Source organism: Homo sapiens, chromosome 10, assembly GCF_000001405.40.
Source record: "Homo sapiens chromosome 10, GRCh38.p14 Primary Assembly".
NCBI classification, from domain to species: domain Eukaryota; kingdom Metazoa; phylum Chordata; class Mammalia; order Primates; family Hominidae; genus Homo; species Homo sapiens.
This window is the reverse complement of record NC_000010.11, coordinates 6,618,313-6,643,954: the sequence shown is the minus strand read 5'-3', so window position 1 is coordinate 6,643,954 and position 25,642 is coordinate 6,618,313. Positions and strand designations below refer to the sequence as shown.

General features: G+C 42.4%; 1 long non-coding RNA gene across 1 annotated transcript, besides 1 other annotated feature; it reads right to left on the bottom strand.

Moving 5' to 3' along the window:
- Positions 1–4,173: 4,173 nt before the first annotated feature.
- Positions 4,174–25,239, bottom strand: LINC02648 (long intergenic non-protein coding RNA 2648). Its single transcript, NR_120634.1, has 6 exons — positions 25,179–25,239; positions 22,782–23,037; positions 22,093–22,245; positions 18,556–18,638; positions 15,578–17,025; positions 4,174–5,642 (listed from the first exon to the last, which is right to left on the bottom strand). It is a non-coding gene; the product is annotated as a long intergenic non-protein coding RNA 2648 (long non-coding RNA).
- Positions 13,635–14,206: an enhancer, noted in NCBI's record as "OCT4-NANOG-H3K27ac hESC enhancer chr10:6671711-6672282 (GRCh37/hg19 assembly coordinates)". NCBI's record gives its function as "activates a minimal SCP1, AML or CMV promoter by ChIP-STARR-seq in naive and primed H9 embryonic stem cells {active_cell/tissue: H9 hESC(naive and primed)}" and the evidence as "EXISTENCE:reporter gene assay evidence [ECO:0000049][PMID:30033119]".
- Positions 25,240–25,642: the final 403 nt, after the last annotated feature.

Sequence of the window (25,642 nt, the reverse complement as noted above, 5' to 3'; positions counted from 1 at the left end):
GACTTGGAAATGGTATTTATGCTCAGCCTTCCACTTGTTATGTTGTTTTCCCAAACACCCCTCATCAGGTTGAGAAGCTAAATGCCAAGACGTCACCCTGGCCTCCTTTCTCCAAGGTCAGATACTGTCAGTCTGGGTTAGGTTCCAGGAACCTGTATTTTCCAAAAGTTCTGAACATGATTTTAGTATGTTTAAGACTTGAAGTCCGCAAGCTTGTCAGGGAAACATTATACTACGTTGTAAATAATTATATTGATAAATTAACATACAGAGGCAGAATGCTATGAATTAACAACTATAATATTTAGAAATGTTTTTCAGCAATGCTGTTAAAAGAATTTTGCTGTATGTATAATAAAAGTTAATAACCCTTAATAACCCACTTATTGTTAGCTGGGCATGGTAGCACGCACCCTGTAGTCCTAGCTACTCGGGGGCTGACGTGGGAGGACTGGTTGAGCCTGGGAGGTTGAGGTTGCAGTAAAACGTGATCGCATCACTGCACTCCAGCCTGGGTGACAGAGCAAGACCCTATCTCATAATAATAATAATAATAATAATCTACTTATTAAACTACCGATAAGTAGCTCTTGCTATATGTAAAAATATATGGAGGTGCATCTCATTTTATGTAAGAACTAAATGAAAATCTTGCATATTTTATTGGTTACTGACCCACCATTAAGAATCATAATTATAATCATTGATACTAGTATAGACAATCTGAAAATAGGGCAGTTTGTAAGAGATAGTGTCTGTTAGCATTTAACTGGGAAAATGAAAAACTCTTCAAGCATGTACACAAAGGAAACTCATTGCAGGGAGAGGGTAACATGGGCGCGGAAGGAACTGAGAAGCCACATTGAGGCAGCAGATAACCCGGGGATTTGCAACAGCAGGAAACGACTGCTGCCCTTAGGCTGGGGGCAAGAGAAGGAAGTAATGCCACCTGGGACCTGGAGCCGCTCCATCTAATGGAAGCTGGAACCACCTCAGGTGTGTCTGTATGGTCAGAGCAGGATTCACAATGGGGTGCAGGTGCTAACAGACATACCACATAAGGCTGTTGGGGAGGAGAGCAATGCCCCACCCTCTCCCTCCCAGCCCTCCAGTCTCTCATCAATTAGCTGAACCCAATGGAAAGCCAATGGACCTGGGAGCCCGGGAAGCACAGACCGGGAGTCAACCCTCCTGGATACAGAGCAAGGCAGGGGCAGGATGAGGAATGGATCTGTGGGCAGCAGACAGAGAGAGGCCCAGCATAGAGAGTCAGAGATGCTGTGAAGGTAAGTACCTGGGTGATTAAAGGTGTAAAGAGAGGGGAAAGATGGTCAAAAACCAAGAAGGTTGACAAAGTTTAATTACGGGCCAAGACAGAATTATTGACTATGAACTTCAAACTGGAACAACAGGCAGAGATCAGGCTTTCTGCTTCTGCTATGAATTAGACCCTCAAGCATTAAAAAATACTGAAAACATATAATATATTGTGTAAGGATAAAACATATATTGTGAACCCCAATAATCTGAGACAGGTCTCAGTTAATTTAGAAAGTTTATTTTGCCAAATTTGAGGATCTGCACCCCTGACACAGCCTCAGGAGGTCCTGATGACATGTGCTCAAGGTGGTCAGAGCACAGTTTGGTTTTATACATTCAAGGAAGACATGAGACATCAATCAACATATGCAAGATGAACATTGGTTCAGTCTGGAAAGATGGGACAACTAGAACCAAAAGCAGGAAGACTCAAGCAGGGAGGGGGCTTCCAGGTCATAGGTAGATAACAGACAAATGGTTGCATTCTTTTGAGTTTCTGATGAGCTTCTCTAAAGGGGGAATCAGATATGCATTTGTCTCAGTGAGCACAGGGGTGACTTTGAATAGAAGGGGAGGCAGGTTGGCCCTAAGCAGTTCCCAGCTTAACTTTTCCCTTTGCCCTAGTGATTTGGGGACCCGAAGGTTTATTTTCCTTTCACAATATCAAAAGTCATACTGATGTGGTCACTATTAAGAATTGTTCTTGTGTTCTTATTGTTCAGTTCCCACCTATGAGTGAGAACATGCGGTGTTTGGTTTTTTGTCCTTGCGATAGTTTGCTGAGAATGATGGTTTCCAGCTTCATCCATGTCCCTACAAAGGACGTGAACTCATCATTTTTTATGGCTGCATAGTATTCCATGGTGTATATGTGCCACATTTTCTTAATCCAGTCTATCATTGTTGGACATTTGGCTGGGTGCAGCACACCAACATGGCATATGTATACATATGTAACTAACCTGCACGTTGTGCACATGTACCCTAAAACTTAAAGTATAATAATAAAAAAAAAGAATTGTTCTTTATTTCAAACATCTCATGACTGTCAGGTTTCAGAAATATAAATTAGTCTGAGGTATATTATACATAATAGAGAAAAGAAAGATGGAAAAGGATATCTGATTTTCTTAGAATCACTTGTAAGTAACTCGGTTGAGAGTGAATAATTTTTCTTACGTATAATGAACTTTTATTAACATTCTTTTTTTTTTTTTTGAGATGGAGTTTCACTCTTGTTGCCCAGGCTGGAGTGCAATGGCACGATCTCGGCTCACTGCAGCCCCCGCCTCCCGGGTTCAGGCAATTGTCCTACCTCAGCCTCAGGAGTAGGTGGGATTACAGGCACCAGCCACCATGCCCGGCTAAATTTTTTTTCTTTTTTGTATTTTTAGTAAAGATGTGGTTTCTCCATGTTGGCCAGTCTGCTCTCGAACTCCTGGTCTCAGGTGATCCACCTGCCTCGGCCTCCCAAAATACTAGGATTACAGGCGTGGGTCACTGCGTCTGACCCTAGTATTCTTCTTTTCTTTTGTCTGTCACAGCGAATTTAAATGGACAACACTTCTGATTTATAATCAGTTTTATTTTCTTATTCTTTGAGTTTTTTTTAATGTCCAATACTTCAAATAATGTCCAATAACATCTGATACTTCAAATAATTCTATATTTTATGAAACTCAATTTGGAGATAAGATATATTAACTTCATTGCTAAGCTTCATTGAAATGTTTAGTCTTAGAATTTGCATTTTTATGCTAGTTTGGAAATTTACATCTATATTATATTAGAAATGCTAGTTTCTGGATGGTCTATAGATAAGGAAAATAATGAAAGAAGAGAAGAGAAGAGAAAAGGAGGGGAGGGGAGAGGGAGGGGAGGGGAGGGGAGGAGAGGAGAGGAGAGGAGAGGAGAGGAGAGGAGAGGAGAGGAGAGGAGAAGAGAGGAGAGGAGAGGAGAGGAGAAGAGAGGACAGGAGAGGAGAGGACAGGAGAGGAGAGGAGACAGAAGAGAAGAGAAAAGGCATCCAAGCAAGGATTTGAATCCCTTCAAAATCTATTGATTGAAATGCAGGTAAATAATAGCTACACTAAGGAAAAGAACTATAACCTATTCAAAGAAAATACTTTTACTTTAAAAAGTCATTGGCTAACCTTGTTTATATCAACTTATTTTTTACCTTATAAAATATACTTTGTATCAGATAGGTAGACTAAATTTGTTTTTTTCTAATCTCCGTATGTGCAAAAACATCTTTGTACTATGTCATTCTGCTCACAGATTTACTTCTAAACTTTCTTTGCCACAAATATCTTAAAATAAAAATTATTTAAATGTTAGTTTCTGTCTTGCTGTGGTTGTGAAAAACATGATCTTACATGACCCAACAAGAAAAACATGATCTTACAGACCCAACAAGCTCAGTGATCTCTAACAGAATAAAAACAAAACACATTCGGCTTTAAGCATATCATAGGCAAACTTCTAAAAACTAGAGGCAAAGAGAAAATCTTGAAAGCAGACAGAAAGAAATGACACATTACATAAGGGAACAAGAATTATTTCTAACTTTTCATAAGAAGAAATTTCCCCCAAATTGATTTATAAATTTCATCCAATCCTTATCAAAATTGTAGCATTTTTGGTAGGCATTGACAGATTCTAAGATGTATATGGAAATTGAAAGGATTTACAGTTGCCAAAACAATCTAGAAAAAGAACAGTAAAGCTAAAGAGCCTATCTACCTTACTTTAATACTTTCTATACAGCTACAACTGAAAAGTTAGCATGGTATTGGCATAAATATAGAAAACAAAATCAATGGAACAGAATAAAGAGTCCAGAAATAGACCTAAATTCATATGGTCAATTTATTTACAAGTGAGACACCAAAGCAACTGAATGGGAAAGTGTAAGTCATTAAGTAATTGGAGATGGAACAGTTACATATACGTACAGAATAAAACATACCTGGAAGCATATCTCACATTGCATATAAAAGTAAATTCATGGTGGATTATAGGCCTAAATGTAAAAATTAATACTATAAAACTTCTAGGAAAAGCATAGGAGAATATCTTCAAGACCTAGCAGACAAATATTTATTAGACAGGATCCAGAAATCACTAACTATAAAAGAAAATATTGATTAGCTACACTTCATCAAAATAAAAAATTTCTCATTAAAAAACACTGTTAAGAAAATGAAAGGGTGAGCCACAGACTGGGCAAAACTATTTGCAATACCTAAATCTAAAACAGAACCTGTATCCAGAATGTATAAAGAATCCCTTCAATTTAATAATAAAAAGACAACCCATTAAAAACATGGGCAAAACAACTTGAATAGACACTTTACAAATACATTTGTGTTAATAGTCAATAAGCACATGACAAATACCCAATGTGTTGTCATCATCAGGGAAATGCAAATTAAAATCATTAAGAGATATCACTATAGAGCCACTAAAATTGCTAAAATTTAAAATATTGAACAATCAGAAGCGGCATACATTGCTGGTAGGAATGTAAAGTGGTAAAACAATTTTGGAAAAAATTTAACAGTTTCCCATAAGGTCTTTCCCCTACTACCCAGCAATTGCACTCCTAAATATTTACCTAAGAGAAATGAAAGTATGTGCCCACACAAAGACTTGTAAACAAGCATTTACAGCAGCTTTCTTTATAGTAGCCCAAAACTGGAAATAACCAAAACATCTACCAACGGTTGAATAGATCAACTTCAGAAAGATCAAAAAGCCAGTGTATTCAGTTAAATAAAGGGCCCTTTTAAGAGAGTAAAGGTATACGTCAATCACGTCAAAGAGCCTCTAGGGAGAACTAGGGTATCCTTCAGCCATTTCCACAGAAGCTAAAGAGAGTGAACTGATTACCTTGAAAAGATCTGTGGATGTGGCTTTTATCAAATACAGTGACATCCAGTGAAATTCACCAAAGACCCACTGACCTTTTTTTTTTCTTTTTTCTTTTTTTTTTTTTTTTTTTTTTTGAGACGTCGTCTCGCTCTGTCACCCAGGCTGGAGTGCAGTGGCGCGATCTCGGCTCACTGCAAGCTCCGCCTCCCGGGTTCACTCCATTCTCCTGCCTCAGCCTCCCGAGTAGCTGGGACTACAGGCGCCCGCCAACACGGCCGGCTAATTTTTTGTATTTTTAGTAGAGACGGGGTTTCACCGTGTTAGCTAGGATGGTCTCGATCTCCTGACCTTGTGATCCGCCTGCCTCCACCTCCCACAGTGCTGGGATTACAGGCGTGACCGACTTCTTAAGAAAATTGTTCCAGCGGAAAAACTGCCAGCTTGGGCTGAAAGAGACACAGTAAGAAACGAAAAGATGCTATTGAATCCGCAAAATTCTCTGTCAGGGAGCAAGCTGACAAAACTACTCAACTGCAAACAGGAGCTACCTTTCATGAAAAAGGAAAGATGATTCCTAGGATGGAATCACAAGCCCCGGGGGGAGATCCAAGAGCCTGGGAAAATTATTCTGCAATCTTGAAATCTAATCAAGAAACTTCTATTTGCTCAGATGCATTTTGGAATTGCCTTTAACAGGTGGCTTTTACCTTTCATTTCTCCATTTTTTGAACGCAAAGTCTGCAGCTGTGATTCTATGCCTATCCTACCACTGTATGTTGGGAGCAAATAATTTGTAGTTTTAGTTTCACATATCAGCAAATGAAGAGAAGTGGTGCCCCAGTAGCTGTACGCAATGGATTACACCTAACAGCCTCATTTCCATTTGGTACTGATTTAGATTTTAGATTTGAGCTGATAAAATATAGATGAGATTTTAGGCTTTGAACTAATGCTGTAAATGAGACTTGCGACTTTTGGAGATGTTGATGTAGTTTGCATTTGGGATAAATAAATCATTGAGGGCCAGAGGGTGGATTGTGGTAGGGAGAATTCTAATAGCATCTCCAAGATTCCCACCCCATGTGTCATCCCCCTTCCCTAGAATGTGGATGGGAACTGTGAATGTGAGAAGATACAGCCGTGATTGGGTAGCAAATCAGTTGACTTTGAGTTAACCATAAGGGAGAACATCCTGGGTGGATATGATCTAGCCAGGCAGGTCCTTATAGAGAAAAGAAGCAACAGTAGCCGTGCTCCTGCTGGCTGGAAGGAAGGAAACAAATGGTCATCTTCTGAACTTCCTGAAGGGACCACATCATAGGGAGCTACCAGCAGCCTCCAGGAGCTAAGAGCAGTGCCTGTTAACAGCAATCAGGAAAATGGGACTTCAGCCATACAACTGCAATGAAACGACTCTAGCCACCAGTGAGCTTGGAAGAGAACCCTGCACCTGAGATGAGATTAGCAGCCCTGGCCCACAGCTCCCTTTCAGCCTGGTGAGATGCCAAGCACAGAACCCAGCTGAGCCCTCTTGACTCCTGACTCATGGACACCGTTTTAAGCTACTGCATTTGCAATCACCTGTTATGCAGTATAGAAAACCGATGTTTTACTTAAAGAGGTGATCTTTGGAAAATAATTATGGATCTGTTTCCTTTCTCTTCCTCAAAATCATGCAAAACGTGCAACTGAAACTGAGACAGGGATGAATGACATCCTTCACCCAGCAGCTCCTCAATCCTGAGAATGGCAAACATGCAGAGGGGATGCATGTAGCCTTTTAGCAAATGTTAAAACTCTCCTATTTGAAGATAGATGGCTGAGTGGATGGATAGATGGACAGATGATGGAGGTGAGGGCTTTGCCAGGAGTTTGCTGCCTGAGTTGATTAAGGTGCTGTGCCTGCAGAGGTTTTCATAATCGTTCCCTACTTCAGACTTAGCAGTCTCTATTTCATTCTCACCAGATTTTCTCTCCAAAGTGAGATCATTTGACCATGATTGGGAGATAAAAAAGGTAAAGTATTTTTTTTTCTAATGTCATCCCTGTGGCAAACCCATTGTCTATGATGTATCTGGGTTCAGAATATCCTACGAGCCTGCCTTCATGCTAATGCCTTGCTTCACCTGCCTGGACTGGACCACTCCCATGTATTAATGGCACCTTGATTAAGGGATGACTCCAGACACTACTGTTTTCAATGGACCATTTGACTGAAGGCACAGAGGATTTTGCATCCTGGGGCAATGCATCCTGTTAAGATACCAGATGGGTGAGAATTCACAGAGGTTTTTGCAGCCTGGAGCAACGCATCCTGTGAGGATCCCAGGTGGGTGAGAGTTCTACCTTTCTTTGAGAAAATAAGAGAAGGGTGATTGTGAAGAGAAATGGCAAAAAAAGAAAAGCATGAGAAGTTGCCCCAAATGCATTCTCAGACATCATCTTTGGGGAAAGGACACATGAAACTCGAGTCAAGAATCTGGACATTAACTCTTTTAATACTACCAGGCCCTTGTACCACCTGAAAAGACTTCTTGAAGCCTAAGTCTCCACTTTGGAAATTGAAAATCAAGATATTTCTGAATAAAAAGCTGAGAAATGTAACTGCTAAAAGCATGAGCCAGGGCAAAACAGGTCTTCCCCAGTTCTCCTGACTTAAAAGAGATATTTTAAAACAATTACTGGAAATTACTACCAGAGACCTTGATTTGAAACAACCAAGGTCTTTAGTTTCATTTTAGCTAGACATCAGAAAGTTTTGTGGGGTGTGCATGGGGGATGTGTACGTCTGTCTGTTCTTCAGTGTGTCTCCGTGTAAGTATTCTGAATAAAAAAAGGAAACTGCTACCTGAGCTGAGTTGATAATACAGTTTCAAATATTTATGCATTAGTTAAATCTTCTCTAACATAGGGGCTCCTGTGTGAATCTGGACACAAGACCCCACTCACAGATAGTGTCCAGTCTAACTGCCCCATTGCCCTATAGTAAAAACCTGAGCATAAGAGTTACTATTGCTTCGTGACTCAAAATATGATCATCCAAAAGGCAAATAAATTCAAGGAGATGACTTCTTTTTTGATGAGATTTTAAAAAACAACAATGAACATTTTTGCCAATTCTAGTTTTGGTGAATGGCAATAGGAAGGTAATATAATTTCAGGACTCAATAACATTGTAGACCTACTCTTTATGGCAATATGGATGGAAAGAAGTTTATGTCACGCCTCTGAGCCCAAGCCAAGCCATCGCATCCCCTGTGACTTGCACGTATACCCAGATGACCTGAAGTAACTGAAGAATCATAAAAGAAGTGAATATGCCCTGCCCCACCTTAACTGATGACATTCCACCACAAAAGAAGTGTAAATGGCTGGTCCTTGCCTTAAGTGATGACATTACCTTGTGAAAGTCCTTTTCCTAGCTCATCCTGACTCAAAAAGCACCTCCACTGGGCACCTTGCGACCCCCACTCCTGCCCGCCAGAGAACAAACCCCCTTTGACTGTAATTTTCCTTTACCTACCCAAATCCTATAAAACGGCCCCACCCCCATCTCCCTTCACTGACTCTATTTTTGGACTCAGCCTGCCTGCGCCCAGGTGAAATAAACAGCCATATTGCTCACACAAAGCCTGTTTGGTGGTCTCTTCACACGGACACGCATGAAATTTGGTGCCGTGACTCGGATCGGGGGACCTCCCTTGGGAGATCAATCCCCTGTCCTCCTGCTCTTTGATCCATGAGAAAGATCCACCTATGACCTCAGGTCCTCAGACCGACCAGCCCAAGAAACATCTCACCAATTTCAAATCCGGTAAGCAGCCTCTTCTTACTCTCTTCTCCAACTTCCCTCACTATCCCTCAACCTCTTTCTCCTTTCAATCTTGGTGCCACACTTCAATCTCTCCCTTCTCTTAATTTCAATTCCTTTCATTTTCTGGTAGAGACAAAGGAGACATGTTTTATCCGTGGACCCAAAACTCTGGCACCGGTCACGGACTGGGAAGGCAGCCTTCCCTTGTTGTTTAATCATTGCAGGGACGCCTCTCTGATTATTAACCCACGTTTCAAGGGTGTCAGACCATGCAGGGATGCCTGCCTTGGTCCTTCACCCTTAGCAGCAATTCCCGCTTTTCTGGGGAAGGGGCAAGTACCCCAACCCCTTCTCTCCTTGTCTCTACCCCTTCTCTGCTTTTCCAGGGACAGGGCAAGTACCCCAACCCCTTCTCTCCTTGTCTCTACCCCTTCTCAGCTTTTCTTGGAGAGGGGCAAGTACCCCTCAACCCCTTCTCCTTCACCCTTAGCGACAAGTCCCGCTTTTCTGGGGGAGGGGCAAGTACCACTCAACCCCTTCTCCTTCACTCTTAGTGGCAAGTCCCGCTTTTCTAGAGGAGGGGCAAGTACCCCAACCTCATATCTCTGTGCCCCAATCCCTTATTTCCATGCCCCAACCTCATATCTCTGCACCCCAATCCCTTATTTCCATGCCCCAACCTCATATCTCTGCACCCCAATCCCTTATTTCCACGCCCCGACCTCTTATTTCTGCGCCCCATCCCTTATTTCCGTGCCCTGACCTCTTATCTCTGAGCCCCAACCCCTTTTCCCACTTTTCTGGAAGGTAAGAACCCCTGAACCCCTTCCTTCCATTTCTCTACTCTCTCTTTTCTCTAGGCTTGCTTCCTTCACTATGGGAAACTTCCACCCTCCATTCCTCCTTCTACTCCCTTGGCCTGTGTTCTCAAAAACTTAAAACCTCAACTCACACCTGACCTAAAACCTAAATGCCTTATTTTCTTCTGCAATGTCTCTTGACCCCAATACAAACTCGACAGTAGTTCCAAATAGCCAGAAAATGGCACTTTGAATTTTTCCATCCTGCAAGATCTAAATAATTCTTGTTGTAAAATAGGCAAATGGTCTGAGGTGCCTGATGTCCAGGTATTCTTTTACACATCAGTCCCTTCCTAGTCTGTGCCCATTGCAACTCGTCCCAAATCTTCCTTCTTTCCCTCCCGCCTGTCCCCTCAGTACCAACCCCAAGCGTCACTGAGTCTTTCTAATCTTCCTTTTCTACAGACCCATCTGACCTCTCCCTTCCTCCCCAGGCTGCTCCTTGCCAGGCCGAGCTAGGTCCCAATTCTTCCTCAGCCTCTGCTCCTCCACCCTGTAATCCTTTCATCACCTCCCCTCCTCACACCTGGTCCGGCTTACAGTTTCGTTCAGTGACTAGCCCTCCCCCTCCTGCCCAGCAATTTACTCTTAAAACGGTGGCTGGAGCTAAAGGCATAGTCAAGGTTAATGCTCCTTTTTCTTTATCCCAAATCAGAAGCGTTTAGGATCTTTTTCATCAAATATAAAAACCCAGCCCAGTTCATGACTCCTTTGGCAGCAACCCTGAGACACTTTACAGCCCTAGACCCTAAAAGGTCAAAAGGCCGTCTTATTCTCAATATACATTTTATTACCCAATCTGCTCCCGACACTAAATAAAACTCCAAAAATTAAATTCCAGCCCTCAAACCCCACAACAGGATTTAATGAACCTCGCCTTCAAGGTGTACAATAATAGAAAAAAGTTGCAATTCCTTGCCTCCACTGTGAGACAAACCCCAGCCACATCTCCAGCACCCAAGAACTTCCAAACGCCTGAACCACAGCGGCCAGGCGTTCCTCCAGAACCTCCTCCCACAGGAGCTTGCTACATGTGCCGGAAATCTGGCCACTGGGCCAAGGAATGCCCGCAGCCCGGGATTCCTCCTAACCTGTGTCCCATCTGTGTGGGACCCCACTGAAAATTGGACTGTTCAACTCACCTGGCAGCCACTCCCAGAGGCCCTGGAACTCTGGCCCAAGGCTCTCTGACTCCTTCGCAGATCTTCTCGGCTTAGCGGCTGAAGACTGACGCTGCCGGATCGCCTCGGAAGCCCCCTAGACCATCACGGACGCCGAGCTTCCGGTAACTCTCACAGTGGAAGGTAAGCCCGTCCCCTTCTTAATCAATACGGAGGCCACCCACGCCACATTACCTTCTTTTCAAGGGCCTGTTTCCCTTGCCTCCATAACTGTTGTGGATATTGACGGCCAGGCTTCTAAACCTCTTAAAACTCCCCAACTCTGGTGCCAACTTAGACAATACTCTTTTAAGCACTCCTTTTTAGTTATCCCCACCTGCCCAGCTCCCTTATTAGGCTGAGACACTTTAACTAAATTATCTGCTTCCCTGACTATTCCTGGACTACAGCTATGTCTCATTGCCGCCCTTCTTCCCAATCCAAAGCCTCCTTTGTGTCCTCCTCTTGTATCCCCCCACCTTAACCCACAAGTATAAGATATCTCTACTCCCTCCTTGGCGACCGGTCATGCACCCCTTACCATCTCATTAAAACCTAATCACCCTTACCCCACTCAACGCCAATATCCCATCCCACAGCACGCTTTAAAAAGATTAAAGCCTGTTATCACTCGCCTGCTAAAGCATGGCCTTTTAAAACCTATAAACTCTCCTTACAATTCCCCCATTTTACCTGTCCTAAAACCAGACAAGCCTTACAATTTAGTTCAGGATCTGCGCCTTATCAACCAAATTGTTTTGCCTATCCACCCCATGGCGCCAAACCCATATACTCTCCTATCCTCAATACCTGCCTCTACAACCCATTATTCTGTTCTAGATCTCAAACATGCTTTCTTTACTATTCCTTTGCACCCTTCATCCCAGCCTCTCTTCACTTTCATTTGGACTGACCCTGACACCCATCAAGCTCAGCAAATTACCTAGGCTGTACTGCTGCAAAGGTTCACAGACAGCCCCCATTACTTCAATCAAGCCCAAATTTCTTCCTCATCTGTTACCTATCTCTGCATAATTCTCATAAAAACACACGTGCTCTCCCTGCCAATCGTGTCCGACTGATCTCTCAAACCCAAGCACCTTCTACAAAACGACAACTCCTTTCCTTCCTAGGCATGGTTAGCGCGGTCAGAATTCTTACACAAGAGCCAGGACAACACCCTGTAGGCTTTCTGTCCAAACAACTTGACCTTACTGTTTTAGCCTAGCCCTCATGTCTGCATGCAGCGGCTGCCACTGCTTTAGTACTTTTAGAGGCCCTCAAAATCACAAACTGTGCTCAACTCATTCTCTACAGTTCTCCTAACTTCCAAAATCTATTTTCTTCCTCATACCTGATGGATATACTTTCTGCTTCCTGGCTCCTTCAGCTATACTCACACTTTGTTGAGCCTCCCACAATTACCATTGTTCCTGGCCCAGACTTCAATCCGGCCTCCCACATTATTCCTGATACCACACCTGACCCCCATGACTATCTCTCTGATCCACCTGACATTCACCCCGTTTCCCCAAATTTCCTTCTTTCCTATTCCTCACCCTGATCATGCTTGATTTATTGATGGCGGTTCCACCAGGCCTAATCGCCACACACCAGCAAAGGCAGGTTTTGCTATAGTACAAGCCACTAGCCCACCTCTTAGAACCTCTCATTTCTTTTCCATCGTGGAAATCTATCCTCAAGGAAATAACTTCTCAGTGTTCCATCTGCTATTCTACTACTCCTCAGGGATTATTCAGGCCTCCTCCCTTCCCCACACATCAAGCTCGAGGAATTGCCCCACCCAGGACTGGCAAATTAGCTTTACTCCACATGCCCTGAGTCAGAAAACTAACATATCTCTTGGTCTAGGTAGACACTTTCACTGGATAGGTACAAGCCTTTCCTACAGGGTCTGAGAAGGCCACCGCAGTCATTTCTTCCATTCTGTCAGACATAATTCCTCAGTTTAGCCTTCCCACCTCAATACAGTCTGATAACAGATGAGCCTTCATTAGTCAAATGAGCCAAGCAGTTTTTCAGGCTCTTAGTATTCAGTGAAACCTTTATATCCCTTACGGTCCTCCATCTTCAAGAAAAGTAGAAAGGACTAATGGTCTATTAAAAACACACCTCACCAAGCTCAGCCACCAACTTAAAAAGGACTGGACAATACTTTTACCACTTTCCCTTCTCAGAATTCAGGCCTGTCCTTAGAATGCTACAGGGTACAGCCCATTTAAGCTCTTGTATAGACGCTCCTTTTTATTAGGCCCCAGTCTCATTCCAGACACCAGACCAACTTGGACTGTGCCCCAAAAAACTTGTCATCCCTACTATCTTCTGTCTAGTCATACTCCTATTCACCGTTCTCAACTACTCATACATGCCCTGCTCTTGTTTACACTGCTGGTTTACACTGTTTTTCCAAGCCATCACAGCTGATATCTCCTGGTGCTATCCCCAAACTGCCACTCTTAACTCTTGAAGTAAATAAATAATCTTTGCTGGCAGGACTATGCTGAATCTCCTTAGGCACTCTCTAATCAGATATCCTGAGTCATCCCAATTCTTAGACATTTTATACCTGTTTTTCTCCTTCTGTTATTCCATTTAGTTTCTCAATTCATCCAAAACCGTATCTAGGCCATCACCAATCATTCTATATGACAAATGTTTCTTCTAACATCCCCACAATATCACCCCTTACCACAAGACCTCCCTTCAGCTTAATCTCTCCCACTCTAGGTTCCCAAGCCACCCCTAATCCCGCTTGAAACAGCCCTCAGAAACATCGCCCATTCTCTCTCCATACCACCCCCCAAAAATTTTCGCTGCCCCAACACTTCAACATTATTTTGTTTTATTTTTCTTATTAATATCAGAAGGCAGGAATGTCAGGCCTCTGAGCCCAAGCCAAGCCATCACATCCCCTGTGACTTGCACGTATATGCCCAGATGGCCTGAAGTAACTGAAGAATCACAAAAGAAGTGAATATGCCCTGCCCCACCTTAACTGATGACATTCCACCGCAAAAGAAGTGCAAATGGCCAGTCCTTGCCTTAAGTGATGACATTACCTTGTGAAAGTCCTTTTCCTGGCTCATCCTGGCTCAAAAAGCACCCCCACTGAACACCTTGCGACCCCCACTCCTGCCCGCCAGAGAACAAACCCCCTTTGACTGTAATTTTCCTTTACCTACCCAAATCCTATAAAACGGCCCCACCCCTATCTCCCTTCACTGACTCTCTTTTCGGACTCAGCCTGCCTGCACCCAGGTGAAATAAACAGCCATGTTGCTCACACAAAGCCTGTTTGGTGGTCTCTTCACACGGACGCGCATGAAAGTTTGTGTAAAGATTTATTATACCAAAACTCTGTGAGCAGTTCATTAACCTTCAAGGAACTACCATGTATTACATTCAAAGACAAAGAAAATCAAAACTTTATCTATCTTGGGGCAGCCACGATATTGAAGACAGGTCCGTAGTATTTTCTTGATTCTGAACATTAATTTTGAGCTCTTTCAGAGAAGTAGAGGAAGATGCAACATGGAATGTCCTTTATACATCATTATAACTCCTCCCTGGCTTTCTAGCTTGCCCTGAGGTGACCCACGTTTTAATATGCAACTTGAAAGTCTGTTTAATTTAGAAAGAGTCATGACCAGGAATTTTCAGAGCAAATTTTAAAAGTCATGATGGGGACTGGAAACTAGACCTAAACTTGAAAGATGTTTGTCAGCAAGGTTTTATTGTATTCCATTCGAATCTGCAAGCAGACAAAGCACCAATGATAACGTAGCACCAGCAATAACAATTATAGTAATAATATCTGCCATTTTTGACCATTATCCTGCAATAAGCATTGTGCTTGATATGCATGATTTCGTGCAAGTCTCACACTAACCCTTTGAGGAGACAATACATTTTGTATCCTCATTTTATATACAGAACAAATGGTAGGAGAATTGGGTTATAACAAGGAATCAATAAACAATGTAAATGCATGCTATATGATAGTAGTAGTATCTTCACATTGAAAATAATTTGGCTTCAGTAAAACACATTTTAATCTGTCCTGTTAAATTGCTAATTCTACACTTAATCTTAATTTTTAAGTTTCATGTTTAAGGACTATGAACAGAAGGGTTTTAAATCTTAGGTTTAAATAATAAAAACTAATTCAGTCAGTAATCAGATATATATATATATATATATATATATATATATATATATATATATATATATAGAAAGAGAGGGGAAGAGAGAGAGAGAGCATAATATTGTGATTTATTTTAAGGAATCTGCATTTTACTCAAATTTATGAAGCATTGGAGTACACACTGATAGCTGCAAGAAGACAAAAGCAATGGCCAGGTGTGGTGGCTCACGCCTGTAATCCCAGCACTTTGGGAGGCTGAGGTGGGCAGATCACTTGAAATCAGGAGTCTGAGATTAGCCTGGCCAACATGGTGAAACCCCATCTCTAATAAAAATACAAAAATTAACCAGGCGTGGTGGCACATGCCTGTAATCCCACTTACTTGGGAGGCTGAGGCAGGAGAATCGCTTGATCCTGGGAGGCAGAGGTTGCAGTGAGCCCAGATCACACCACGGCACTCCAGCCTGGCTGATAGACCAAGAGTCCCTCTCAGAGAAATAAAAAAAAAAAAACAAAAAAAAAAAAACAAGAACTGATTATGCTAATCCTGGAGGAAAGAGATCGATGGTAAAGAAATAAAGAAACATGTCAAAAGAGTACTCAGTCATCTAAAAGCCTCCTGCCCAGAAGAGTTGTTGCATTTTTCTTCATGGCCCCAACTGCTAGAATTACAATTAATGGGTGGAGGAAGCCACACACACATGGACCAACACACACATACACACATGCACCCACACATTTACACACACGCACACACACACACAGTTGTGGCAAAATTGAATGAGCTACCTTGGGTGGAAATGAACCTCCTTTCACTGGGGGCATTTCAACAAAGACTTCCATGACTAGTGTGGGCAAGAAGGGTTGACCAGAACATTAAGACCCCTTACTGTGCTAGGATTCTCTGCCTCTTAGGGGAAGAGTGTTGAAGCTGGGAAGTCAGAATTAATGTCACCATTTTGCCATGACTAGATCTGTTTGTGTTGAAACCTCAAAAAAATAGGCAGTATCTTGAAGACACAGAGACACCAACCAGGGGAGGGAAAGTACTTGTTTTTTCCAAGGAACTCCTTAACAACGACAAGGGGGTAGAGGAAGGAAAGTATTAATAACTGGGCTGATGACATGTGAATGACAATAGAACAGCCTCTCATGCCTTGCAGATGATAATCTCCCCAGTGACCTTTCTCCTTGCTACACGTTTTCACAGAGAATCCAGCTCCCCAAACCTCCTTTCCGCAACTCACCACACTCCCACCTAAGACATGCATTAAATTGGCTCATTCCTCATGCCAGAGAAGTCTAGATAGGAGAAAATGAGTCTTTATTGGCAAGAAAGAGCCAGCAGACAGATAGCAGATGAATGGGAAGGAAAGATCACTCGGCTATTTTAAGAGAACTGACAGGAGGCGGGTACAGTGGCTTATGCCTGTAATCCCAGCACTTTGGGAAGCCAAGGCGGGCAGATCACTTAAGATCAGGAGTTCGAGACCAGCCTGGCCAACGTGGTGAAACCTTATCTCTACTAAAATTACAAAAAGTAGCCAGGCATGGTGGTGCACGCCTGTAATCCCAGCTACTTGAAAGGCTGAGGCAGGAGAATCACTTGAACCTGGGAGGTGAAGATTGCAGTGAGCCAAGATCGTGCCACTTCATTCCAGCCTGGGCGACAGAGTGAGATTCCATCTCAAAAAAAAGAGCGAGAACTGACAGGAGATGCACAGATGAGCATCTCTGAGAAGTGAAAGAGCCCAGGTCACTGAAGCTGATGGAGACCTAGGGGAGCTTGGTGACAGTGGAAATGGCCACATTCGTGTCACGGTCCAGCATCTGTGGCAGAAAAATATAACAATCAATTAAAGTTACAGTAAATAAACAAATACAGACCAATTACATATCTTCCTCCTTTTCTGCAGTATAAAAAGCAGTGATCACCGTTTCCAAATTTTACAGGATGTTGATAAGTGGGAAAACATACTTCAAATTATTTTGTTTCCATAAAGAATGTACGTAATATTTCTGTAAAGTTGCATTGATTCAACATACCTAAACCTGATTTCTTGTATATAGTAAATAAAACAGTGCATATCTTATTTTTCCCTGGTTTATAAGTTATCAAAAAAATGGATAAAAAATTATGCCTGAGCGGTTGTGTATTTCCTCCATATAATGGTTCCGTATACACTCATCATAGCATACCCCCTCTGCCACCCAGTTTAATGTTGCAACCCTTGCCATTCCCTCTTACGGGTGTCATTCCTCTAACTCTGCTTTTTCTTTTCCCCATAATTACCCTCAAACGCAATGGATAACATACTTCTTTGCTTTGTTTATTGCTTGTCTCTTTCTGCTAGAATGAGGACTCCGTGAGGGCAGAGGGTCTCTGTCTGTGCTTTCCTTCATATTTCCCGTGTCCACAACAGAACCTGCCCCATGGGGCACTTGGTTCATATTTGTTGACTAATTAATTGCCCATTGTCTATTTTCCATCTGCTTTTAACACTCATTGTAGATCCCTTAAAGACAGAAACCATTTCTACTGTGCGACCCCAGCACTCAGTGAGCGCTTTAGCGACGTAGAATGGATGAGGAAAGAGAAAGCAGCAGCCCTTCGCATTCAGAAGCCGGCCTGGATCCCACAGCCAGGCCATGTTATTCTCCCACCAGACATCAACAGTCACACAGAACACCAACCTCAACGAAGCTTACTCTGAGGCCACTGTCAAATGAAATGAAGCAGGCCCACCTCCGTGATCTCAGACACCATCCTTTGTACTCAGTGTGGTTGTTCATCTGGGCACCATTTATAATTTCATAACTTCATAATTTTATAATTTTATTTATAAATTATAATTTTCATAACTTCATAATTTCATCTAAACACAAAGAAAAGCAAGGCCACTGTGCCACCCACAAATGTCAAACATCCCCTCTCTAGACTAACATGAGTGACTGCTACTTCTTTGCCAATTGCAGCTTTATCCTCAGTTTAGTCTCTCCTCTGCATACAGAAGATTGACTGAGATCATAGGCATAATCCACTCTAGAGAAACCTCTACTTCCTTAGAGCCCCCTCCCAGCTCACCCAGTCAAAGCCTAAATCCTATCATTGTTTGTTTTCAACACCTCTTACGGGGCCGCCCCATTTCCTCCGTGGTGTGTGTTCTCTCTTGCTGCAATAAGTCATAAGCCCAACTTTTAACTATAGGGGTGTTTCGGTGGCCTGTGACTGAGGGTCATTGATGGAATAAGTGAATTACTTAATTGATGCTAGCATTTCATAACACATCTGCCTTGGTATTCCTTGGGTATCTTAGACATTACAACTCCCCAAAGCCTTTTGAAGGAAAAGAGTTTTACCTCTTTGCTTCCCTAGCAAAATAGATGGATTCTTCCAACTCCAGGAAAACCTCAGGAGATTTAGCTCAATGGGATTTAGTCATCTGAAAGTAAACCCATAAGCCAGACATAAGGGATGTGAAAGACTTTTGAGTAATTTTTAAATTACAAAATTTGCTACATTATACATTGGTATAGGTATTTATTCACAACCACAAAGTTGTCACCTATAAAAACAATTTCAAGTTACGTCTCTAAGCCATAGCCAGCTACTTTTTCAAGGTATTGGTACATGGAAGATTTCAGCAGTTCTTCTAAGTACAAAGTAATGAGACAGAGTAGCCCACCTGTTACTCAGCCCACCCTGACTAATGTATTTTTCTATACATGTCTGCTGACCGCCAGAGCTTGCAGCACCCGCCAGCTGGCGCCACCCCCACTGATCAGATCTTGCAAACTGCGTGAAGAAGCTAACATCAGGAGCATTCCACTATAAATCTTACTCAAGGGAGTTAACCCTGTCACCTGCATGTGCACAAGACCATGAGAATGACCAATCCGGACCCTTGCCTCATTATAATACTAAAATCCCTGCCCGATGAGAGGCTTATCTGCCATGTGATATATGAAAAAGTATGTCTCTACACTGCCCTTGCATGGCTGAAATTCCTTCCAAATCATGTTTACATACCTTTTATTTAACGTTGACCCCTTTTCTTCCCCCAAATAAAAGATCCCAAGCAGCTCTTCCCAGGGAGCCAGCCAGGGAATCCTTCATCCTGTGCTGTCTCCCTTGTGCTCAAGCATAAGCCCTCAATAAAGCCTTGTCTGGGAAACTTGCTTGGCTTTGTGTCAATTTCTATTGCGTGGGAGCTTAAGAACCTGTGGTCCATAACAATAACAGGTCTTACTTTAACTCTGTGTTCTACAAACACAAACCACAATGAAGAGGGCTGGGAAGGAGTAGGGACTTGGAAGTCATTCTTAAAGAACATGGTGCCAATGCTGGACGCTAGTTAAAGTTGATGAGAACAGATTTTATTCAGTCTATTGCAAAGGGAAGTGTCCAGCATAAACTGAGTTCATCTTTTGTTCTGTGCACAGGTGACTGGGTGTTTCAAGGAAAGAATCAGAAAGTAGGAGTAGGGATGGAACATAGGCTCAGTGGAGTCAGGGAAGCAGAAACTTAAAAAAGCGGGAAGGAGGTGGTTGGTTTACGTGATTAGTCCATCTGTGTTTGTTAACTGGCGATTATCCAGTTAGGCTTCTGTCCTCCCATGGAGACTAGAAGGCAGGTGCCCTATCTTCAGGGGTTGGCTGGAACAAAAAGTAAATCATTCTGGCAGCCTTGAGTTTTCCCAGGCAGGAACTTAAGGAGCCTGGAGTCCTCATCCCAGGAGTGCATCCTTGAGCTATTAGGAACCGTGCTGTGACAGTGCTGACTCCTTGTTAGAGAAAAGCTTGCTTGAATGCAATTATTGCTTCGCTTGAGTTTGTGCATTATTTACTAATAACAGCTACAGGAAAACAAGATCTTCAACAGAGATAAAAGAAAATTTGCCAACCAACAGCTCTAAGAATGGGCTGACGAACCTGTAGAAGCTCACGAAACACTGATGAAGAAAGCAATGATTAACTGGCTGCCTATTGTGCACATTTCACAGAAATGTTTTGGTCATCATTTCCCCTAATTTCCCTTAAACCCCCCCTGGATCAAGATCCAGAAGCAAAGCTCCGAGAGGTGGTCTCTGAGTGCTAGTTCACTCCCTCCTCTGGTTTGCCGGCTTCTTGAATGAAGCGAACTTTCTTTTCACCAAAGCTCTCTTGAGTTTTTGGCTTTCAAGCAATGAGTAGCCCAGATCTGAGTTCGGTTACAATGATAGTGTTTGTTTGTGTCTCTTAGTGTGGGAATGGGTAGAAAAAATTGTCTGTGCTGAGAGTCAGCCATCCTCATGGGCCAAGGTTAAGGCCTAGTTGAGAAGATGGCTCAGAGGAGCCTTAGCTTAATCAAGAAGAGAGTCTTTGTCAGCGGGCATGTAACCAAGTATCCCCATTTATTAAGACAAAGAGAACGCGTTATTTTTTCATTATTATTTTCTTCTTTTCTCTTTTCTCCTTTTCCCATCTCCCCACTTCCTACTTAGCTCTTTAGAAATGCAATTATAACATTCTGCCTTCTCCAGATGTTCTTTACAAGGCAAGCTTATCTAACTGTATACTTACTTAGAGGCTCCAGAGCAGAAACCTCTCCCCAAGGAGATGCCTCAAGAAACAACAGTCAATTTACAACCCAAAGTATTCCCGGCATGAAACTCTCTCCCACCTGGAGCATATCTTGAGACAAGTCTGCTTTGCAACCTGGTTCTGCCTGTGATGGTGCCGGCTTGAGCAGTAGATAAAGCACCGAGGCAAGTCCCATGGACCCCCAGCTGCTCACTCCCTCCCCCGCATGCCGCTCATGCCAGGCCCCCTTTTAAAAGTGCCCACTTTCTCCTCCAAAATTGAAGCAGTACCCTTAAGGCAGGAAGCCTGGACTTCTTCCCGTAAGCTAGCTTTAGAATAAAATGTCACTTTCTTTATACCAGACCTTGCTCTTGTTGATTGGACTCTGCAGGTGGTGATCAAGTGAACCTGTGATTCGGTTACAGGGAGATTGACCAAGCAGCTCCGGAGCTCAGTTTCTCCCAAAAAGTATCGTATGTAGCTTCTCCCAACGTGGTGATGAGGTTACTCGTGGACACGTAAGTAGACATAGTAGTTATCTCCACACCTTCCATGCTACCCTCCCTCTACGTGTAGCACCCATGAAATTTGAGTGTCAGAGAAGGGCAGGGTGGAGAGACACATCAAAGACTAAAACCAGGACTCTGATTCAAGAGCTAGGCCTGCTCTGCCTCTAGCCGCTAGATCTCCCTTTTTGTTTAAGACAGTCTGAGTTTGCTTTTTGGTTACTTACAACTGAAACCATCCAAACTGAAATATAAATTTTAATATAATCTTTTGGGGTAAATAAGAGAACAAATCAAACATAATCAGAGGACAAACTCTTCATTTATTGTCAAGGGAACTGCAGCTGGAAAGAATAAATACAGAATGGTTTTGCAGTTTAATAGTTTGGTGCTTCATCCATAGAAGGGATAAATTTCCAAACCTATGATTCTATTTGGAAAGATGGTGGCTAAGTCGGGCCCAGTAGTGATCTCAGACACCATCCTTTGTATGCAATGTGGTTGTTCATCTGGGCACCGTTTATTATCCCCAGCAGTAATGGGTTGCTCTAAGCATATGTTAAAATATAGTTAGTGAATAATGACCCCTTTTAAATTCATGTACCTACATAATGTCAATTTATTTGAATACTTGGCTTAAAAACCATTGTATTGAACTAGGCATGGGCACATTGACATGCTACTGCCTTTTATAACCCTGGTCTCTCTACAAGCTCATCCATTATCTCCTAATTAAACAACAAAGGTTCCTTGGAAAGGAACCCCAGTTAGACATCATTACCAAGCATTTTGCCATCATTTGCTAGATTAATGAGACTAATTATACAACCTGCAGCGATGAGTCAAGACCTTGGCGAAACAGGAGAGATGAGGTATCCAAATCCTTTTGTAAATCGCTTTAAATCAAAGCAGTCCATCTCCTATTGATAGACTGGATTACTTCAAGTGTTAGTATCTCTCTTCCTCTCAGTCACTGCATGCTCTGAAAGGGGAATGGATGACTCATAACTCTTGGGAATTCACTCTCTGCCTCTCTGCGACAGCATTGGATCCATTTTCAGCTTTACAGCATTGAGCATGTGGGCTGGGTGAGAACACTAGATATTATATTGGGTCTTCTGGTTTCGATTAGAAGAGGAGATAAGAAGAAAACTCAGTGAAACATGCAGCACATGATTAAGAACCATTCTTATCTAAAAGAATTGGAAAGAAGATTAACATTGGTTCAAAAGGTGGACTCTGAGGGTAAACGACCAGGGCTCCTGGCCCCCTCTCCTTCCTACTTGTGCAACCATAGGGAAATTACTGCATTTAATGTTTTTAAGCCTCATTTTCCCATTCTGTAAAGTGGGAATAATAATAGTACCTTTCATACACTGTTGTCTTGAGAACTCAGTGTGAGAAGGTGCTCAGCCCCAGTGCTTATTAATGCTCAATAAATGTTAGCATATGGTTTCACAAAAAGGATAATGACACTGTTGTTTTAAAAAAAGCTAATATAGATATGTTTATACTTACATGTATTCTTACTGCAGTCTTAGTAGCATTTCAAAGGAGGGACTTGGACGTTTGTAAGATTTTGAAGTCTGAATTAAGATAGGTCTTTCAATGTGGGTGTGTAATTAGGATTGAGTAAAGATCAAGATATAATAGTTTAGGATTGGTAGATAAAGCAATTGTACGGGTTTCCAGGTAAGAGGTTCACACAATCTTAGGATATAATCTGTCGTTTCATGTTTTCTAATGGTGAGTTGATGCGTCTTTCAAGATATTCCTGAAATGAGCAATAAGGTTATTTTCAGGTTTATTTTCCTGGGCAAGAGTTTAATAGACTAGCAAATTATGTTGAAAGAACATAGTGGAATAATAAAGTCAATAAGTTCTGTGAATTTCCATGTTCAATGTAAAATAAAATAGTGGTTAACCCGAAATTCATTTCTATATAAAACTTTTGGCAGTTAATTTTGCAGCAAATTTCTGTGTTAAATTTTATTTTATGAAAAGTGCTGCTAATAACTTTGTATGCATTTACCATCTCTTCATGGACACAAAGGAACCATTAAGGGAAAAGTTGGCCTTAGATCAAAATTTCTCTTCAAGAGAATTCATATTTGTAAAATCAAGAAGCAAGTTACCATACTAAATAATAAAGGATTCCCTGAGGGGCCAGTCTCTTCTTTACTTAGGGTGTCATTAAGGTTTAATTTGTGGTCACACTACTGAAATCTTATTTTTAGAGGAGAAAAAGAAAAACATTAAAAAGAACATGGCAAAAATTCTTCCTTCATGTCAATCAGTAGACTCCATCATATTTTCTCATCATTTAACCACCCCCATGACTACATTCCTCCTAATTCAGTTTAGGAGGATGAATATTCTACAGATCCATAGTGCAACCACTCCCATTGCCCATCCTTCAGATCTCTTGCCCCTTTCATTCTAGGTCCCACCCCCTGGCAAAACACTATCCATTGGTAAACCTGGCTGTTGCAAACCGACAGCCATTTCCACTTGTACTTGACCATGAAAAATTCTTGGTTATTTTGGAAGAGAAAACAGTAGTGTGGAAAGTTCTATGTGAGTGAGGGTTGGCTACTTTCCTGCCACCTGGTTATAATAAAACCAAGTCACAGATTCAACACCACCACGTATTTAGACATTTTTATACGTAATCGTTTATTAGCAGGCAGATGGGGAGGGTTCTGCAAGCTTCGTGGAGACTGAGCTCCCCGACCTTTTAGAGATCTGTCCACATCTTGCCAGAGACTCTCTGGGTCATACACAACATCGCAGAAAGAGGACTCTGTGACCCCAACGCCTGTCACCAGGCAACAAAAAACCGTCTGACTCATTCTAAACACAGGCCCAGATAGGGATGTAATTTGCTATTCTAAGTGTAAGTAATGTCTCTAAAATATTTTAGGCCACCCATACCGCTTTACTACCACTAATCTTTGTAATCTCAGCACTTTGGGAGGCCGAGGAGGGTAGATCACGAGGTCAGCAGTTCGAGACCAGCCTGATTAACATGGTGAAACCCCGCCTCTACTAAAAATACAAAAATTAGCTAGGCATGGTGGTGCGCGCCTGTAGTCCCAGCTACTCAGGAGGCTGAGGCAGGAGAATCGCTTGAACCCAGGAGGCAGAGGTTGCAGTGAGCCAAGATCATGCCACTGAACTCCAGCCTGGGTGACAGAGTGAGACTCCATCAAAAAAAAAAAAAAAAAAATTCCCATTTCCAACAATTGTGTTAATTAATGAGTGTCAAACTTCACAAAGAAAAATGCACTCTTAATATTTATTAAGCTACTTTTTTAAAAAGCCTGGAGTTGACCAGGGATAGAAGGAATCAAATTCCTTGTTGTAAATGCCTATGGAGGATGGACTTTCTGACACCCTGAGAGTGAATTTCTAAGACAGCAACTGAAGGCCCCATGAGCAGACTTCAACTTTCTAATCTGGAGGGAAGTTTTAAATGATGTTCAGGATACAAAAGGCTAAAGATGTGTGACACATAGTACATGCAAGTGGAATTTGTTTCCCTTGTTTAAAACTAATCATATCTTTTTTTTTTTTGAGATGGAGTCTCGCTCTGTTGCCCAAGCTGGAGTGCAGTGGCATGATCTCAACTCACTGCAACCTCCGCCTCCTGGGTTCAAGCGATTCTCCTGCCTCAGCCCCCCGAGTAGCTGGGATTACAGGCGCCCACCACCATGCCCAGCTAATTTTTGTATTTTTAGTAGAGGCGGGGTTTCGCCATGCTAGCCAGGCTGGTCTCAAACTCCTGACTTGAGGTGTTCCGCCCGCCTTGGCCTCCCAAAGTGCTGGGATTACAGATATGAGCCACTGCCCCCGGCCTAATCATATCTTTTTAAGCAATCAATTGTTTCCTAGAGAAAAATATAACTAACTTACCTTTTGAAATTAAGCTCTTCCCTTTTGCTTCAGGAAAAACTCACTCAAACCAGGCTTCTCCTCTGTTCTCACACTAGAACAATAAACACAGAAGACTTCTGTGACCAAAGGTGTGGGAGTTTCTTCTCACCACCAAGCAGTGGACACCAGCTGGGTGTCCTCCAACTGAATTCCAACTCTATCTACCTGGAGATAGTGACCAATCCCATTGGTTGTAGGCTCAGTCCCCAACCCCCTCCTTCCTCCTAGTTGCAAGTCCAAGCCTCCTGAACTCTGACCAACTGGCATCAAGTCAGGGTTTCCACGACTCTCCCTGGGTTTGATTAATTTGCAAGAGCAGCCCACAGGACTCAGGGAAACACATTTACTGGTTTATTCTAAAGAATGTTGCAAAGGACACAGATGAAGAGATGCATATGGTGAGATACATGGGATGGGGTACAGAGCTATCATGTCCTGGGCAT